The sequence below is a fragment of the Homo sapiens genome, chromosome 4 (assembly GCF_000001405.40).
Source record: "Homo sapiens chromosome 4, GRCh38.p14 Primary Assembly".
Lineage (NCBI taxonomy): Eukaryota > Metazoa > Chordata > Mammalia > Primates > Hominidae > Homo > Homo sapiens.
The window spans coordinates 26,070,141-26,089,110 of record NC_000004.12 but is presented as its reverse complement, the minus strand read 5'-3'; the positions used below and the strand labels follow the sequence as shown (position 1 = coordinate 26,089,110).

The 18,970-nt window shown below is 43.3% G+C and overlaps 1 long non-coding RNA gene across 3 annotated transcripts in view, besides 3 other annotated features; it reads right to left on the bottom strand.

The window, feature by feature from the left end:
- The window catches only part of LINC02357 (long intergenic non-protein coding RNA 2357), a 33,504-nt gene extending 15,147 nt beyond the window's left edge, over positions 1 to 18,357 (bottom strand). Inside the window, exons 1-4 of one of the 3 annotated variants that reach the window (XR_001741635.2) lie at positions 17,091 to 18,350; positions 14,325 to 14,379; positions 8,521 to 8,661; positions 6,504 to 6,685 (exon numbers count right to left, since the gene is read on the bottom strand). This is a non-coding gene — a long non-coding RNA (long intergenic non-protein coding RNA 2357). Of the gene's footprint in view, positions 1 to 6,503; positions 6,686 to 8,520; positions 8,662 to 14,324; positions 14,380 to 17,090 lie in introns of those variants that run through there. The other 2 variants (XR_001741634.2, XR_925506.3) reach the window with 2 other exon arrangements.
- Positions 312 to 421: an enhancer, noted in NCBI's record as "active region_21386". NCBI's record gives its function as "activates an Ori minimal core promoter by ATAC-STARR-seq in GM12878 lymphoblastoid cells {active_cell/tissue: GM12878}" and the evidence as "EXISTENCE:reporter gene assay evidence [ECO:0000049][PMID:35858748]".
- Positions 7,732 to 7,911: an enhancer, noted in NCBI's record as "active region_21385". NCBI's record gives its function as "activates an Ori minimal core promoter by ATAC-STARR-seq in GM12878 lymphoblastoid cells {active_cell/tissue: GM12878}" and the evidence as "EXISTENCE:reporter gene assay evidence [ECO:0000049][PMID:35858748]".
- Positions 14,100 to 14,179: an enhancer, noted in NCBI's record as "active region_21384". NCBI's record gives its function as "activates an Ori minimal core promoter by ATAC-STARR-seq in GM12878 lymphoblastoid cells {active_cell/tissue: GM12878}" and the evidence as "EXISTENCE:reporter gene assay evidence [ECO:0000049][PMID:35858748]".
- Positions 18,358 to 18,970: the final 613 nt, after the last annotated feature.

The following is an 18,970-nucleotide window of genomic DNA, read 5'->3' as shown; positions in this document are numbered from 1 at the left end:
TTGTTGGCTTGAATTCCTTCTTTTTTCTTTTTAACTCTAAAGTGCAACCTTCCATTTTTTCACCAAGTCCCACAATTTTCTGTTTAAGTCACAGATTGTCTTGAACATTTGAATGGTGGGATTTCCACCCCCCACACCTGCTCCACCCACCCCCATTCCCTCTGACCTGGGGACAGCTGAAGAAGTAGATGACATCCAAAGATACACTTCTATTTGCCATCTCTGCACTGGGGAATGTCTCCTTGGCTGACTCAAAGGTTCTTCCCCAGCACCAGCCAAATGGAGATATAATATCAGTCAGTTGCTACTACTTCCTCATCTGCCCACATCCTGAGCAAAACAGGGGAATTCTTCACATACCCAGAGGAGTCCCTAAGGTAAATAGTCAAATTTCAATGCCTAATTGCCAACTATGATTCAAAGATAATGTAGCAATGAAAAAGCATGTGAGTCCCTTGCCATAAAAACAGCTCTTCAGAGGAAGGGAGTGTCCCCTAAGAGCCACAACTAGCCAAGAACCAGAAATAGCGAGTTTGTTTCTTAGCTATGTCTCTAGTTTCCTGTATAAAAATAAAATGAAGTGAATCATGTTTGCTCCCTAATCCCCACCAGCCTGGCTGCGCCAGGTGTCGGGACGTTTTCCTACAGCCCTATTCTGAGAACCTCTTCCTAAGATCTCCTGTGAGAGCCCAAAAGGAGAAGACTGGCTCCTAGAGCTCCTCATGGGAGCGCAGCATCTGAAAGGATGCCATCAGTCTAAATGGCCTGCTCCTTTTTCTTGGTACTTTAGAAAATATGTCTCTTTATACAATGCCAACAAAATGATTTGGTTATTTAAAAAATACAATATAATAAGATTAAAACACTTCCCTACAATGATAACCTATATCAAAACAAAAGCAAACACAAGAAGTAATACGCCTTCTCTTCATCACATAGAATCACAGGGTTTCATACAGATTCAGCCAGGAACAGCCTGAGATTACTTTAATGCAGTGCTTCTCAGTGAGGGTATTATAATAAGTTGAGGCTTTCTGGCTCCTTCTCAGGACCAGTAATGCTCGGCTCCCCTGCCTTCCTATCCCCAGGTATTGCAACAGTCAGATAGACTTCCACAAATTTCCAAACACCATCCCACATCCCCTGTCTCTGGGCACAGTACCACAATCCTTGCTCGCACTTGCCCCATTTGAATATCCTGCACTGAGAAAAGTTAAGCAAGGCCAGGCGCGGTGGCTCATGCCTGTAATCCCAGCACTTTGTGAGGCCGAGGCGGGCAGATCATTTGAGGCCAAGAGTTCGAGACCAGCCTGGCCAACATGGCAAAAACCCCATCTCTACTAAAAATACAGAAAAATTAGCTGGGTGTGGTGGTGCATGCCTGTAATCCCAGCTACTCAGGAGGCTGAGGCATGAGAATCATTTGAGCCTGGGAGGCAGAGGTTGCAGTGAGCTGAGATCACACCACTGTACTCCAGGATGTACTCCATCCTCGATGACAGAGTGAGACTGTCAACATTTTGTTCTCCATTTTCCAATGAGGAAACTGAGGCCAGAGTAATTAAGCAGTTTTGTCAAAGCTCACATCATCAAGTAATTGAACTGCAATTTCAAAGTCATTCTTATCTCAGTATGTTGTGCTGCCTCTTATAACCCCAGATGGTGCCAGGACAAGCACAGATGTGGGTTTTAATTTAAAACATTTATCGAGAGACTTCATGAAGTCTTAGGAATCACTTAGGAATGCCGTCGTGGTCAAGTGACCAGTTAATGAAGGGGCTCCCCACACTGACGAGGAAACCACCAATGGGTTGAGATAGTCCCAAGTGAAACTGTCCTGCACCGATTATTTCCCTAGCAGCATCCATGGCTAGCAGCATTCCCTAGCAGCATTCCCACGAGGGATCTTAGTGGCCAAGCAATAGTGTTTCTGCATCTCTGGAAAAGTCCACTCTGACTTTCAGCCAGAAAATAATTGTCTATGTTCATAAATTGGCAAAATACATTTCTTGCTACAATAAACAGGACTGCATCTCAGCAGGGGGTGGGGGAGCCTTTGGATAACTCTCCCTAAAGCTCCCTGCATCTTTTTGTATTTTCTGTCATCCCTGCAACTCACATAAACATTGTCCAGACCTCAGAGATATGACATTAGCTGGTTCTTTTTTAGTTGATTAGCTCTTCTGATATATTAGTAGATTATCAAAAGCAGTTTCAGTATGTCATAAAATCTGTTTGGTATTAAGTTGTACATGATGTGTTTTTCTCCATCTAGCTAAATAGTTTCCTTCAAATCTGGACCAGATGAGCACCCTGGGACTTGCATGAGCTCATGTGTGTATCTGCGTGGAATGCAGTACGTTGGGTCCCATTGGATGTGTGAGCATGTGTTTGGCCCCAGTGGAAATATCCTTAGGCACCGATGCCTCAGTTAGGGAAAAGATAAAGGCACAAGCTCAGATAACACATCTGCAAAATGTTAACGTCCTGGTGGTGCTCTCTATTCGAGCCACTTTTCCGGTTCTGTTTGATGGCTAGTTTAGGCAAATTGTGACGAGCATGAAATTGCCTTGATTCAGCAGCCCCTTGGGACGGGCATCTCATCCCTGCTCCCGCTCACTGTGCCTCTTGCTGCCGCAGGCTCACTGAGGCTCCATAGCTGGCTCCTGCTCATTCATTCAACAGGTCTCTTTTGAGCACCTATGATGTGCTAGGCACAGTGGAAAGAGGAGACTAAGAGCAGCCCTTGTTTCTGAGATATGGAGGAGGGTATAGAAATGTGAACCGACAATTGTGTTACAGCAGGATAAATATATCTACTGGAGCAGAAGAAGGGTCCAGACTAGTCCTGGGGAGAAGTGTGGCTCAAGAAAGCCTTCCTGGAAGGTCTACCCAGGAGCAGAGAGTTGAAGAAAACCCAAGAATGAGAGCTGGCGCTGGCCAGCTGTAAATAAGAGAGAGGTACCCCTTCTGGCCAGGAGCAGTCTCCTGCAGGCCATGCAGGTTGGCAGGCCCAGTGTGAGCTGTATTTAGTCTCTCCTCGTCCTCTCAAGTAGTGCCCTTGAGAAGTCAGCAACCTGCACAACCTTCCATGGGATCCTGGGATTATCCATGCCTTTTAGTTTCCTAGGGCTGCTTAACAAATTATCACCTACTGGGTGGCTTAAAACAACAAAACTTTATTCTCTCATAGTTCTGGAGGCCAGAAGTCCAAAATTAAGGTGTTGGCAAGTCCATGCTCCCTCTGCGGGCTCTAGGAGAGAATCCTTCCTTGCCTCTTCCGGCTTCCAGTGATTCCTCTGGGCAATTCTTGGTTTCAGGTTGCACTGCATTGCTCCAATCTCTGCCTCTGTCTTCACAGGACTGTCTGCTCTGTGTCAAATCTCCCTCTGCCTTTCTCTTATAAAGACACATGTCATGGGATTGGGGGCCCACTCAGGTAATCCAGGACGATCTCATCTTGGGATCTTTAAGTTGCTTGCATCTGCAAAACCCTTTCTCCAAATAAGGTCACATTCTCAGGTTCTGGAAGTTAGGACAGGGCATATCTTTTTGTGGGCCACTACTCACCCCAAGAGACCAGGTGAATAAGGAAAAAAGTATTTTCAGACAGGAAGAGCAGAGGATGTAAAGGCAAGGAGGTGTTTGTGGACTTGCTTCGTTCTTCAGTGGCAAGACTGCCTGGGGCTTAGGCTGCCAGAGGTGTGGTGGGGAGCTAAGACTGCCTTGGGAAGCAAGGAGCTGGTCTCAGAGGACCTGGAGTGCCCAGCCAAGAGGCTTGAACCACAGCCCAAAGGCAATAAGCAAGCTTTGCAAAATTTTAATTTTAACCTAGAAAGATCACGTGGGCTGATGGTTAGAGAATGTACTGGAGGCCAGCAAGACAGGAGGTGAAGAAATTCCTTCCAGAGGATGTTGCTCTTCCTCAGGTAAGGAATTTGGTGGCCTGAGCTTTGGAGAAGAGGTTATGATGGTGTGACACTGAGGAGAGGGGACCACACACAGCACTTGGTGGCTGATGTGAGCTGAGTGGGGAGGGAGCACTATTCCGGAGGTGTCCTGGCCCCAGCACTGCCCATCGTCCACCTTCAGGCAGCTATGGATACACTGGCACTGCTCTTCACAGATCAGCCCTTCGCACTTGAGAATTTGAACATGAATTTTCAAGAGCTTTGAAAGCACTTTGACACAAAAGAACATCCCCAAGAACTGGGTTGAACACTGACCTCTCGAAATTCATGTCTTCCTCGAACCCGTGGGTGTGACCTTATTTGAAAGTGAGTCTTTGCAGATGTAATTATGTTAAGGATCTCAAAATGAGGTCATCATGGCTGATCCAGGTGGGCCCTAGGTCCAACAGCAAGTGTCCTTATGTGAGAAACGCAGAGAAGGGACACTTAGGGAGAAGAGGGGGCCGTGCGAAGATGGAGGCAAAGATTGGAGTGACGCAGACACAAGCCAAGGAATGCCAAAGATTGCCTGGAGCCACCAGAGGCTGGAAGAGGTAAGGAGGGATTCTTCAATAAAGCCTCCAGAGGGAGCATAGCCCACACCTTGATTCCAGACTTTTTGGCCTCCAGGGCCATGAGAGAATAATTTCCTGCTGTTTTAAGAAACCAAGTTTGTAGTAATTTGTCATGGCAGCCCTAGGGAACTGCTACAGATTGACAATGAGCATGAAATACTTTGGACTTTAAAATAATAAGAAAAAGGAAAATAGCAAGATGACTAGATAGATGACTAGAAGTATGGGAGTTTCGTACTAGCAGCTATTCTTGTTCTAAGAAAGGGGCCCCTTCAGCCTTCCTGTCACTGTGCCATAAGGGACCAAGCTGTCTTGACCTTTTAAGTGAGTTTGCTAATCTCTCCACCTGTTTTCTTTGCTAATATAGCTGTTCTTTCTGTCATGCTAGTGTGCACCCGGGGAGCTGACAGAAATCATTGGCTCTTGATACTGATCATGCAATAAAAATGGCAAGCTGATTAGTCAGCCAGAAAGGAGAAGCCTTTTTCCCATTAGAGGCATGATCTAATGCTGTAATCACCTAGCCTGCTGACAGCGGCCAAGTGCTTGTGGTCGCAGAGTCCTCAGAACAGGTGAACCCTGTTAAAAAGCACCCTTCTCCATGGTTTCAGCTGTCCTGCAGAACATCTTAAGTCTCAGTCCCTGAAATATAACAATGAGACGGAACTCCTGTGTCCCTGAGTTTATGACAACCTTCCAAGACCATCCTTTTTGTAAAAAATATATATATATGCAAATAAAAGAACTCCAGCTTCCAAACCAGGAGGCTTCAGGAAGCCCAGGGTTCTTCCAAGGAATGTAGACACAGTCTTGGCATTCACTTACCATTTCTCCACCTGGATGTGTGTCCCTGATCCAATGGATTCAGTGCCTCCCTTCACCCCAAGACAATGCTAACATGAGGCTTTCTGGCTCAACTGAAAGCTTGAAAAAATTTCAGTGCAGAGAGGGAAAAATGAAGCTCAGTGTCAGCCATGACCAACCATACCCCAAGTCCTTGGGTCAAATCTCATCCCACCCAATTCCTACTGGTCTTCCTTCACCTTCAGGCTCCCAGCACATTGCCAGGTGTGCTCCTATGCCGTCTTTACCTCCACACCGGGGTTTGCATTGACTGTGTTTCTCTTTCCCTGAATGCCGTGCCCCCACAGCCTCTTCCCTCTGTCTACCAGTGGAAGCCCCAAATCCATTAACATCGGTACAATCCTCACTCTTTTACTTTGGTAGACACAGAGCTTGAGTGTTTCCTTGTCTAGGCTTTCCCATCCCAGAACGGAATTTCCTTTTGCACAAATAAAAGCTCAATTAAGAACGTTTTCTCCACCAGAAAGCGGGGCCCCCACAGACTAATTTGGGTTTCCATTTTTAGCAGCACAAAGAATTGGCAGAAGCTTTGAAATTGCAGTTCTTCCTCAAAGACGCCCAAGAGCCCAGATCCAATTCTGAGGCAGAATCAAAGTTCACCTACTGAATTTCCCTCCTCTTACTTCCATGACAGGGAAAGCTTTCCCCAAGCCCTCAGAGAACTTGATCTTTGTAAAGTAGAAGATGCAATTCTTCTCCCAGTAATCAGCACTGGGTGACTTTGATCAAGAAGGTTAACTGGTCTGAGTGTTGGACTCCCTAGCTATAAAATAGAATTAATAATACCTTTTCGCCATAGGGTTATTGTAAGAATATTTAAAGAAAGAACTTAAGAAAAGTGTCTGGCTTGGTGTGTGGCACACAAAATACGTTCATTACTTCTTCCTTTCATTGTATGATTAAGCAATAGTTTGCTTTGTTGCCTTATACAAGGATTATAATATAGTTCTAAGGATTATCTGAAGTTCAGAAACTGGTTAGCGAAGATACACTGAGCTCTCAACAAAGTCAACATGCACTGCATTATAGAGTGTTCTCTTGGCTCCATATCTGCACATGCCTGTAATTATTTATTTGAGATGAATTCCCAGATATGGAATTCGTGGTCAAGAGGTACATACATTTTTAGGACTGCCGCTATACATTGCCAAATTGCCTGACAGAAAGTCTGTGCCACAGACTTCTTACCTCCCCCACAGAATTGTGTCCGAGAGCCTATTTCTTGAAATCTTGAGTTTTTCCTCAAAATGTATTAGCTTGATGGGAGAAGAGCGGTTGTGGAATTGTTTCTCAAACCTGGAAAACAAGCATCCCACAAACCCAACTCACTTATTTTAAAAATGAAGATCCTAAGACTCAGAGAGATTAAGTGACTTGGCGAATTCATCTAATTAGTAAGACAGCCAAAATCCATACCCCATGTTTCCTAATGCTGGAATTCTTTCCATTATACCACTCCAGAGAGAGAGTGTTAGCCCTGAGGTGAAACCACTCAGGGACTGCTTAATAACAAAGTTCAATTAGACCAGAGGGAAGGCGCTGTAGAGAAAAGTGCTAATGCAGAGAGCTTTAATTAGTGTCTGGCTAATTCATCCTCAGATAAGTACAGTGTAGTGTTTGTGTTAGCACCACCTACTGGTGAAAATTTAGACTTGTACAGGATTCCTTTTATGGAGTTGCAGGTAGAATGGGAAAAATCTCCGGAAGATTTGGACTGCTTTAAACTGTCTTATTCTAGAAAGAAGTCGGTAGAAAAATGAGTAGGTATGGAGTCATTGAGTCATGAACCATAAGGACTTCAACTTCTGTGGTCTCAGAATTGCTGTGAATGAAGTTCCAATTTCCTGCAGCAACAAAGTCAGTTTCCTGTTCTTCCTATCGGCTATGTAGAATGTAAACCTCTTCATTTTTCTATAACCTAATTTCTAGTTTAAGTCTACATTCTTCTAGTGGCAGGAAACTTAATATATAGTGTCTTCCTGGTAAAAATCACTCACTTCAGTGTTTATGCAGTCATGCCGGTTTCAGTCACTCAATTCAAAATTTCATGCCCTTCCCTTCTTCTTGGGGTTGCTGGTAAGATCCTGGAAATATAGGATGGTGTAGGTGTAGAAAACGGGGTTCTGGGGGACTGAGAGAGGGATGGGGTGGTATGGTCCACAGGCATCCTTAGCCTGAAGCAGACCTGGTCTTTGGCCATCAGCACCTATGCGTAGTGGCACCCAGGGGCCATACTTGGAGGCTGCCAAGTCCTCCATTGTTAGAAAGCCCTCCATCTCCACTGTATCTTCTTGTCCCAACCTCAAGCTCTGCTCAGGTCTGCGGCCCTCTTTTGGCCATTTTGTGCCCATTTTGGAGGCAGGAGCAAGGGAAACTTTAGGATGCTCTCTTACATGGGCCTGGCTGTGACAGATCGGGGGCTTTCCTGGGGCCTCCCCACTGCTTTGCTCTGTTGCGCTCTCTTCTCCACTATGGCCAGCATACAACGCAGGGGATGGCAAACTATGCCCTGTAAAGGGCCAGACAGCACGTATTTTAGATGAGTACTCCACTCTGTTACTGTAGCACAAACGCTGCCACAGGCAATAGATAAATGAACGGGCATGGCTGTGTTCCAATAAAACTTCACTTACAAAAGGAAGTGGCATGCTGCATTTGGCCCTCAGGGCCCTTGATGATCTCGGTATGTATCTGTGCTGTTCTCCCCTAACTCCAGGCGTCTCCCGTAGATCAGGGCACACATTCTCAGGTCTTGGCATTACTAAACCTATCTTGATGATTTATCACCCGCTACCCCACTTCAGAAAATCACAAGACGAGGGAGCAGGCAAAGTGCAGGACCCCTCAGGGCTATGTCAGCATCTTCTTCTTCCCTTCTCCTCTTTCCCTAGCTAGAGCAACCATCCTTTCCTCTCTTTCCATTCTCTTGTTTGTAGTATAAACTTTTATGTCGTGCTTACGTGGGGCTTAGCCTTTAGATTTGATCACACTTTTCTATCACAAACCTTGGCTATGGAGGACCCACCCAATCTCTGTAATAAGAGTCAAGAGCCTAAATGATTCAAAGTCAAGAACTTGACATTTGTTCTGTGTTCTTCATAATCCCTCCCTTCCCTGTGAGTAGTGGATACCTGGAGTGACTGGGAATATGGTCCCATGATGTCCTCTAACCCTTGCTAAGTTCTGGGCTTTGACCAAGCCTCAGCCATACTCTGAGGGCAGCTGGATTCAGGTAAGTTTGCTGGTCTGGTATTTGTTCCTCTGTCTTTATCCTATGAGGAAATAAGAAGAGTAAGGTTAACTTGACATTGTTAAAAAAACTGCTCACTCACATGAATAGAAATGAATCCTTTTGGGGCAAAACCATTTAGAACAGAGCGTTTCAAACTGCAAATTGCAACCCTTTAGGGTAGGGGTAGGCAATTTTTTTTCAGTAAGGGCACAAATTGTAAATATTTTAGGTTTTGTGGGCTGTACTCAACACGCAACTCTCAACTCGCAACTGCTCAACTCTGCCACTGTAGTGCGAAAATGATCAAAGACAATGGGTAAACAAGTGAGCGTGTCTGTCCTGTAATTAAACTATTTATGAATACTAAAATGTGAATTTCATATAATTTTCACCAGTCATGAGATATCATTCTCCTTTTGATTTCTTCCAACCACTTAAAAATGTAGAAAATTTTTAATCTTATCTTTTTAACTTTTATCTTATCTTTTTTATTTTATTTTTTGAGACAGAGTCTCAAAAAGTTGTATGGAGTGCAGTGGTGTGATCTCAATTCACTGCAACCTCTGCCTCCTAGGTTCAAGCAACTCCTGCCTCAGCCTGCAGAGTAGCTGGGACTATAGGCATGTGCCACCATGCCCAGCTAATTTTTCTCTTTTTACTAGAGACAAGGTTTCGCCATGTTGGCCAGGCTGGTCTCAAACTCCTGGTTTTAATGCAATCTGCCCACCTTCGCCTCCCAAAGTGCTGGGATTGCAAGTGTGAGCCACCGCGCCTGGCCAAAAATGTAAAAAACATTTTTAGCTTACAAGCCTTACAAAAAGAGGTGGTTAGTTAGATTTAGCCCTGGGCCATAATTTGTTGACCCCTCAATTAAGGGGGTCATGAAATCAGTTAAGTGATACTGGACAAAGAATTTTTTTAAAAAGAAATAAGATAAAGTAGAATGAAGGAGACAAAATATCAGAATATACTGTACACAAAAAAGGTTTTGTAAAATGTTGATTTCAGTTAATACACATTTGTGTGTATTGCACTGTGATGCAAAATGTATTTCTTGCTGTGGAATGTGGCTGGAAAAAGTTTGAAAATCAATTTGGAGAAACATTTCTTTCAGTGTGACATTTTTATTTCCAAAGAGTTATGCCTTTGTTTATTCCACACACCTTAAGATTTGATGTTAGTGTTGCCAGATAAAATATAGGACACTCAGTTAAACTTGAATTTCAGATTAAAAATAAATAAATTTTTAGTATAACTATGTTCCATGCAATGTTTGGGAAATACTCATACTAAAAATTACTCATTTCTTATCTGAAATTCAAATTTGACTGAGTATCCTGTCTGTTTTTCTAAACCAGACAATCCTATGTGGTATATTACAATTGGTTATTATTATTATTGTAATGATCTTAAAACTCAGGTAGGGGCAGCCCAGTTCAGCTGGTAACTTAAGGGAAAATTGACATTTAACAGTTCTTCCTATATGCCAGGTTTTGTGCCCTCTCACAATTGCAGAAGCACTAGCCCTCACTACAGCCCTCTAGGAAAGGTACAGCTTTGTTATCTTCACTTTACAAGTGAGGAAACTGAGGCACAGTCTGACCTCAACAGGGGATTTAACAGTATAAGAGGGATGGTTCCAAGTCCTTGCCACACCACCAGGCTGTTGGGAAAGGCAAGCCCTGTGAAAGGGCCACCAGCTGTTCTTGGTCCTGGTGGTGCAGTCAGGAAGGCGGAGGGGACAGTGGGAGTGGCAATGAGGGTGCATTGTCCATGGAGTATTGAGCCCAGTGTAAAGATGATCGAAGTCATTTTATATTCACTATGCAATGCCAGTGATAACCTGTCCCCTCCCCATCGAGGCTGACTTCCCCACCCGCTTGACATGCCACTATTTGGCATATGATTGGTGCTCAGAAAATGTTACTTTCCTCTTTCTTCCTGCTCTTCTTTTCTCTACCTTGGCAAATGAGTTGCAAACCACTTGCCCATTCTGATTAGTAATGACAGCCTGGACTGCTGGATTGGGAAGGATTCTGGAGTTGAGTCTTTGCTCAGAGTAAATGAGTGCTGTGCTCTGGAGGCTCATCTGCTAGAGAGAGGTAAGAAGTGGGTACATAGATAGATACCACCTGCCACCCTATAGTTAAACGCTTTAACCTACAGAGCACAAGCAAGCATGCTGAGCAACGATTCCCCGCAAGCCCAAAACTCCTTCCCACTTAAGACAAAGTAAGAGAGGAAGAGGAAGAGAGTTTCTATCCATCACATCACCTTGTCCCACCCCCTCTAACACACGCAACTCCTGAGTGACCTGGAGCTAGATGCTGGAACACAGATTGGAGAGGCACAGGCAGGCTGGACAGGCAGGCAGGGCACAGGTTTGCTGGGCACCAAAGGCCAGAGGCAAGTTAATATCTCCCCTCCCACTGCCCTTCGCTGCCTGAAGCTTTTGCACTCGGCTCACCATAGTGTGACCAGGTGCCTCTGTTCACATGCGCCTTTTTGGAAGCTGTGGGGAGGAATGCCCTTCCTTGACTCAGTTATGTGCATGGCTGGAGGCAGGGCTACAAAAATAGACTGAAGGCAAGACTTTCCACTCTTCCATTTCCCCAAAAGTAGTTTCTTCTTGGACACAAACTGCCATCTTCTCTAAATTCCCAAATTGAGTAACCACTTGGAAGGCTTTCTTGTTTTTTTTTTTTTTCTTTTTTTTTTTCAAATGATTTTTCCAGCTGTAATTTTTCTTCAGTATGGAATTTTGCTCTTTCTGCCTTGAACTTCATTATAAATCCAAGTTTAAAATCAGAACTATTATAAATAGCCTTTGTGTACAGCAAGCGTTTGGGCATGCCATGTTTTAACCTTGAAGTAGCCTCCCATTTAGGTGGCTCTATAATTCCTCAGCTTGTCCGTTTATCCTCTGCCCCCCCAAATTGGAGGTAATATTAGAAAGGCCATGTGCGGGCACACCTTCAGATGAAAGGAGTTGATATATTTAAGCGCATGTTTAAGGTCAGAGAGAAGGAATGTTCAAAAGCATAGAAAGGTATTCGGATAGTTTCTTGGATATTTAATACCTTTGGCAACACCTTATTTTCTTGAATTAGGGTCTTGTGGGTCTAGAAATGGCTTCCAAAACTATTTAGTCAATTTCCTCTTGGGGAGCGGTGGTAGAAAGGGGCAATCCTTCCTCTTACAGCTCAGGCCAACTTTCTATTTTGTACAGAGGTGAGGATATTAGTCATGATATGAAGGAGAATCCACGACATTTTGATAATTCTGGCATATGTACATCCGAAAATTGCAAATTTAATTTTTCTTAGCATACCAGAGAGACGAGTCTTCAAGGAAATGGGTCTGACTCTTGAGCTTTGTTTGGTGTTGCTTTGGCCAAATGATTTGGTGAGTCACTTGTTATGGCTTTCCCTCGGGGTTCAGTGTTGTTTTTCACTGTGCCCTTAAAACCAACTTCTAGGCCACTTAGGTGTCTTGACCAGACTTTCTGGGGCCATATTAATTCCAACCTCAGAAATTTTGTTCCTGCTTAGATATCCCCAGGTTTTCTCTCCCCTACATCTATCCTTCTACACAATCCAGATTTCAAGGTCCCTTACAGATCTCAGGTCGGTCAAGCCATCCTTGACTTGTGAAAAACCCTGCGATTTCTCCCATCTTTGAATGCCTTTTGGGATCATCATCAATATCTAATCTTTGCACTTGATCTCTAAGAATCATCTACATTGTTTAAATTTTTCTTAAGGGAAAAGGCTATGTCTTACGCTTTTTCTATATTTTCCAAAACACCTGCCCCATGTTGGGCATGCCCCAATCAATACTGGATTGATAAATGATTGAGAAGTCTTCACTAGGCCTACAGTTCATGCATCTATAAACATGGAGCTTCCCTTTATCTTTGTAGGGTTTGACCAGAATTTGCCCCCAGCCTTACCCGATTACAGGAAAAATAGTGTTCAAAGTAGGAAGCTAGTTCTGTGAATCCACATTTCCTTTGTTGGGCAATGATCTAGCTGCATGTGGCATAACATTTGCTGACACACAGTGTACTCACTCTTTTTTTTTTTTTTGGTCAGAAAAAGACTATTTCCATTCAAGTCACAAGTGGTGAAGGGTGGTGTGGTTTCTCTGTGACCTTAGGCGAGTCATTTCACCACCTTCAGCTGCAGTTTCCTCTTCTACAATTTTCCACCTCTAAGGTTGGCAGTTCTATGGTTTGGGGGCTGCTCAATGCTTCTAAGATCTCATCTAACAGATTTGTTTGCATGACAATGGGAAGGATTCTAAGGTTCAACTTCATTCTCCGCTCTGGATCTAATGTGGATGGATGGGGCCAGCAATGCTAGTAATTATTGGCTGGGACCTTCTCTCTGTATTAACCAGAGCTCCTTATATCATTCTAGCTAGCAGCTCAGAGCCTACCTTGAGGATGGCGGCATTAATCTGTCTGCTTAGGGACATCTAGACATTCTGCTAATCGTTCTTGCTACCACTATGGATATCCCTGATAGTGCAGAATCTTCTGCCTGTGGTTCTGTAAATGGGCCAAGTTAATTCTTCTGTTAGAGCCTTTGGAAAATTCAAGACAGGTACCAGTGACTAATAAAGTGACTAATAAAGGCTATATTAAATGCCCTTTCTCTTTCTTTTTTGTGGTTGATGCAACAACAAGATTGTCTAGTCTTGTTAGCCATAATTTTATAAGTTGTTGGCTTTGGTGATATATTTCTGCTTTATCATTTTAGGTGTCACATCTTGAGGACAGATGTCTTGTGTAAGACATGGGCTGATTTTCACTCGACAAAAATTGGCCCTTGTGTTAGAGGGAGAATAGAGGAAACCACTCTATTATTAGACTTTGAAATGAATGTTTATGGCCCTATAAAGTGACTAGCTAGTCTGCTGTCTGCCATGATTGAAGAGAGATCTAAAGCTAGGTCTAATTAAGAAATATCTATTATCTGATTGCTGTTGTGTTTAATAAGCTATTTAAAACAGAGAAATTATTTTGTGGAATTTAAAAAAGTGAGTTGATTGGATGCATCGGATTTGGACTTCTAAAGGATTTGCAGCATTTTTTCCTAAAAAGGCATTGTTCAGTGGGAAGTGACAGTGGGATTATTGCTCCTTGTTAAGTAAATTCAGCATGTGATTTATGTGCTTATATTTCCATGCACATTCAAGGAACCAATTCTCCTTTGAAATTTCCAAAATAGTGATGCCAAAAGAAAAAAAAAGAAGAAAGCGAGGAAGGAAAATCAGAGTTTCAGAAGAAAGTAAGCTGTTTGGATTAGAACTGAAACCACATGGGGTCCAGAAATCTTGTAATATTCTGCCCATTAAAAGTTCTTCTGCAAATAAATGTGCACATGCAAAAGTGGGGGTCGGAAAGCCATCCATTTGGATTCAGCAGCATGTCAGCCTAATTATACTAGACAATGCTGAGCTCAGTAATTCCACTTTTGATCCATTGCTGTGTGAAGTTCATTATTATCTGTTTCGAATTATTGTTCATTTCAAGAGCCGTACAATGAAAAAGCATGTCAAGACTGTGAAAGAGCCCTTGGCCTTCCCCGAAAGCTTTGTGAAACATTTCTTTGGAAACATTTCTGCTGAGATGGTGCATTGGCCGTGAGTGGGTGTAGGGGATGGGCGTCTGTGCTTCCCCTTTTCACATTTGTTTACCTTAAATACATCTCCATGGAAACAAGACCTGCTTCTGAGTTGACTTGAGGGTTGTCTGTAAGAGGAATGAATAGCAAAATATAGATAGCTAAAATTCTCATATAATCCAAAAAGGATCAGCCAAAGTGAGGGACACTAAGTGTCATTGAGCCCTCTTCAAGACTGATGATTTTAAATAAGGTTTCTCATGTAACGCTGAGAGGTAGACGGTATTGTCTCTGTTTTACAGATGAAGACCTTTAACTTCTAAATGTTTACTCAAATAGGAAGCGACAAACCCAGATTTGAACCCAGAACTGTCTGATTCTGATGCCCACGCTCTTTCTATAAAACCACATTGCCAGTCGTTTCACCCTTTCCTCCCACCTGCCCCAAGCATTTTCCAGAATTGTATAAAAATGGGCTACCCTTGATGTTTCCGTCTTTTGGGTGATTAAGTGCTTGGGAGGGAAAAGGTACTATGAAGAAAGAAAAACAAGCAGTCTGCATCATCTAAATGTGAAATCACCAACAGCAGCATAAACAATTGTCCCCTGTACTTCCGGAATCCCAGGCCAGGCCAGAAAAACCTCAATTTGCTAACAAAGCCTCAAGTAGGAAGGCCTCCATTTACCTAATTGTTGTCTTTGCTGCACTTTGAGGAGAAAACAAGACAGTGGACTGGAAAGAGCCCCAGAGATATGAGTTCAAATCTTGACCCCACCACTTATGACTTGCGGGACCCCCAGCCTCAAATGGGTAACTTCTCTGAGCCTCCAGTGTCAACAGGGTCTCTTGATGAGGCAGGATCTGGCCCAGGGTTTCCTGGTGGCCCATGGCAATAGGCAATACCCTTTACATATTGACTTAAGTCCACAATCTCTGTCTCAGATATATTAAAAATTTAGTTTGCAGACAGAGTCAACAAGGGTTGGGAAAGAACTCACACTGAGGAAATGGTCCTGTGTGGGGAGGTGGGCTCCAAAGCCAGGCCTGAGTGTTCAGGAGGCAGAATGGCCCTGGTACTATAATGTGGCTGGTACTGGATCTCAGCCTTACCCAGAATTTAAACAGGTTTGCCATAAATGCCATTGCACTAGAATTCTGGAACTGGTTGTGGGACCCCCTCACATCGACTGCAACTGATTGTAACATGAAAAGAGCACTTTCCTCTTTTTTTTTTTTTTTTGAGACAGGGTCTCACTCTGTCACCCAGGCTGGAGCTCAATGGCATCATCTTGGCTCACTGAAGCCTCAGCCACCAGGGTCCAATTGGTTTTCCTGCCTCAGCCTCCCAAGTAGCTGGGATTACAGGCGTCTGCCACCACACCTGGCTAATTTTTGTATATTTAGTAGAGACGGGGTTTCACCATGTTGGCCAGGCTGTTCTCGAACTCCTGACCTCATGCGATCTTCCCTCTTTGGCCTCCCAAAGTGCTGGGATTATAGGCATGAGCCACCACACCAGGCCTGCATTTTCCTCTTTATTTCACAGGTGACAAGATATCTAGCTTTGAGGTTCAGCTCTGATGGTACCCAAGAAATGGAGACAGCTGGAACCCTGAGTGACCCCTTCAATAGAACATTGAGGACTTGAAGCCAAAAATCCTAGCTCTGTGATCCATAGCTATAAGTGGACAACCAAGTAGGATCCGTGTTTAGGTGGTCCTGAGTTTTCTCATATGAAGGTATGATCCACTAAATATTGAACTTTCTCTGATCAAGGAAGTAGGGCTTTGGAGCCACTGAAATTTGTGTGGAGATAATAGTGAGAGTAGACCACACACATTGGAGAAGTTACCTTTTAGGTTATTGAAAAGATCAAGAGCAGTGCTGGCACAGAGTAGGACTTCAATAAATGTGAATTACCTTGATGTGTTTGGAGTACAAGCCCAAGTCGGCAAAAAATGTCCTGGATGCTGGACAAAAACCTCCATGGTGGCCCAGATCTCAAGGGGCATTAAGCCAAAGAGATCAGCTATCAGGGCGCAGTGCGAAAGAAACATTGACTCAGGAAGAGGAGACAAGGTGTCAATCTGGAAATTAGCTGGGAGGAGGCAGAACAAGAAAGGCAAGCCACGAGGCCTCCAACTGGAAGGGCAGGAGGAGACCCAGGGGTGCAGAGACTTAGCCAAAATTACACATTTATACAGAGCAAAGAAGGGACCAGAGCCTAATGGCTCTCTTCTCTTCCTTTAACTTACTATTATTATTATTATTATTATTATTAGAGACAGGCTGCAGTGCAGTGGCACGATCTCGGCTCACTGCAACCTCTGTCTCCCAAGTTCAAGCGATTCTCGTGCCTCAGCCTCCCAAGTAGCTGAGATTACAGACACATGCCACCATGCCTGGCTAATTTTTGTATTTTTAGTAGATGGGGTTTCACCATGGTGACCAGGCTGGTCTCGAACTCCTGACCTCAAATGATCTGCCTGCCTCAGCCTCCCAAAGTGCTGGGATTATAGGCATAAGCCACCACACCCAGCCTAACTTTAAACTTTGATACAATTTTAGACTCACAGAAAAGTTACATGAATAATAAAAATAATTCTCATAGGCCTACATACTTTTCACCCAGATTCCCCCAATGTTAACATTTTATCACTTTGCTTTATCCTGTATCTCGATCTATCTCCACATCTGCATCCTCACTAGTATTATATTTTTTCTGAACTGTTTGAGACACAATGTCCCTTTACATATTTCAGTGTGTATTTCCTAAAAATAAGAACATTCTCTGAATGTACAATGACAAAATTCAGGAAATTAACATTGATACAATACCTTTATCTAGTAAACAGGCCTTATTCAGATTTCACCAATTGTCCCAATACTGTCCTTTAAAGAACAGCATTTTGCTTTAAAGCAAAAGATAATCCCACATCATGCATTGCATTCAGTTGTCACGTGTCTGCAGTCTCCTTTAATCTGCAACACTTCCTCAATCTTTGTCTTTCATGATATTGACATTTTTGAAGAATACGGACCAGCTATTTTGTAGAATGTTTTTCAAGTGACATTTGCGTGATGTTTCCTCATGAGTAGATTTAGGTTATGCTATTTTTTTTTTGCAGGAATAACACAAATATGATGTTGTGTTGTTGTGTTTTCCCCAGTGCATCACATCAGGAGGCAAATGCTGTGGATTTTTCTCATCTCTTGTAACACTAACTGATCAGTTAGTTAAGGTGGTATCTGCTAGGTTTTATCATTGGAGGGTTATTAGTTTTGCTTTGTCATTAAGAATCTGGAGGGCGGATACTTTGAGACTATCTAAATAGTCTGTTATTTCTCAAACTTGCCCACTCCTTAGCATCCATTAGTGTTCTTACTTGAATCAATTATCATTAGGACGGTTGCCAAATGGTAGAACCCAGACTCTTGACCTTTCTATTTCAATCAGCAAATAATGTGCATGGCCTTCACATCTTCTGCATAGGCCTCCATGCCTTCGCTCACGGCTTCCTCTCTCTTGAAACATCCTTCTACCCCTTAATATTTGCCAACTTTTTTTTTCAAGACCCTCTGAGGATTCATCTCCAAGGATCGACTTCCTGTTTCACCTCAACCTACAGTGACCATTCTCTTCACCTCCTTTGTACTCCTGCCTTTAACATTTCTCAGTTTCCAAGCATTTCTTGAATGTTGGCTTTTCCTTACCATGTGACTAGGGCTATGTTATCTTTGACAACATATTTTATAAACTCTCTGCAGTTAAGGATGAGTTTTTTAAAATTTCCAAAATTTTGAGGGAGGATATGTGGTCCTAGTGTGTGTGAGCCACCACACAAATTCAACAGCACCCCAAATGCTCACCACTGCCCTCTTCATCAAGACAGGATCATTGATCAGGTGCTTGGACACTGTGGCAAAGTAAAATCACCTTAAACATTTCTAAACCCTCCATTTCTGTATTTAACATGGGCCAATAACATTTCAGTAACCCATATTAGGACAACTCCTTCCTCTTCCTACATCCATCCCACTCTTAGACCCGAGAGAGAGAGAGAAAATGATGGTAATCAGATGAAAAATAAAATCGTTTTCCCCCGATTGCCTCCATTCCATTTGATTTTGACAAGATTCCTCTCTGTGACATAATAACCACCAAAGAAGCCTGAGGCTTCATGGATAAGGAAGTAATAAACAGCATCTTCTAATTGAGAAGGAGTTTGAAGGACATAAAGGGAACATTAAGATTAAGGGAAATAACTCCTGACAGCATAATATTCTGAAGGAATAGGCAGATCTGCATTTGCCCTTTGAATAATTGAGTCTACAGCAATCAAATGGATAAACCAACTTCCACTCCATCTCCCTTGGCAAAAACAGAGCTCTTCATGTGCAATTCCAATATAATAAAAGATTGCCATTTTTGAGGCTGGGTGTGGTGGCTCACACTTGTAATCCCAGCATTTTGGCTAAGGCGGGCGGATCACCTGAGGTCGGGAGTTCGAGACCAGCCTGACCAACATGGAGGAATCCCAGTCTCTACTAAAATACAAAATTAGCCGGGCGTGGTAGTGCATGCCTGTAATCCCAGCTACTCGGAAGGCTGAGGCAGGAGAATTGCTTGAACCCAGGAGGCGGAAGTTGTGGTGAGCCGAGATCATGCCATTGCACTCTAGCCTGGGCAACAAGAGCGAAACTCTGTCTCAAAAAAA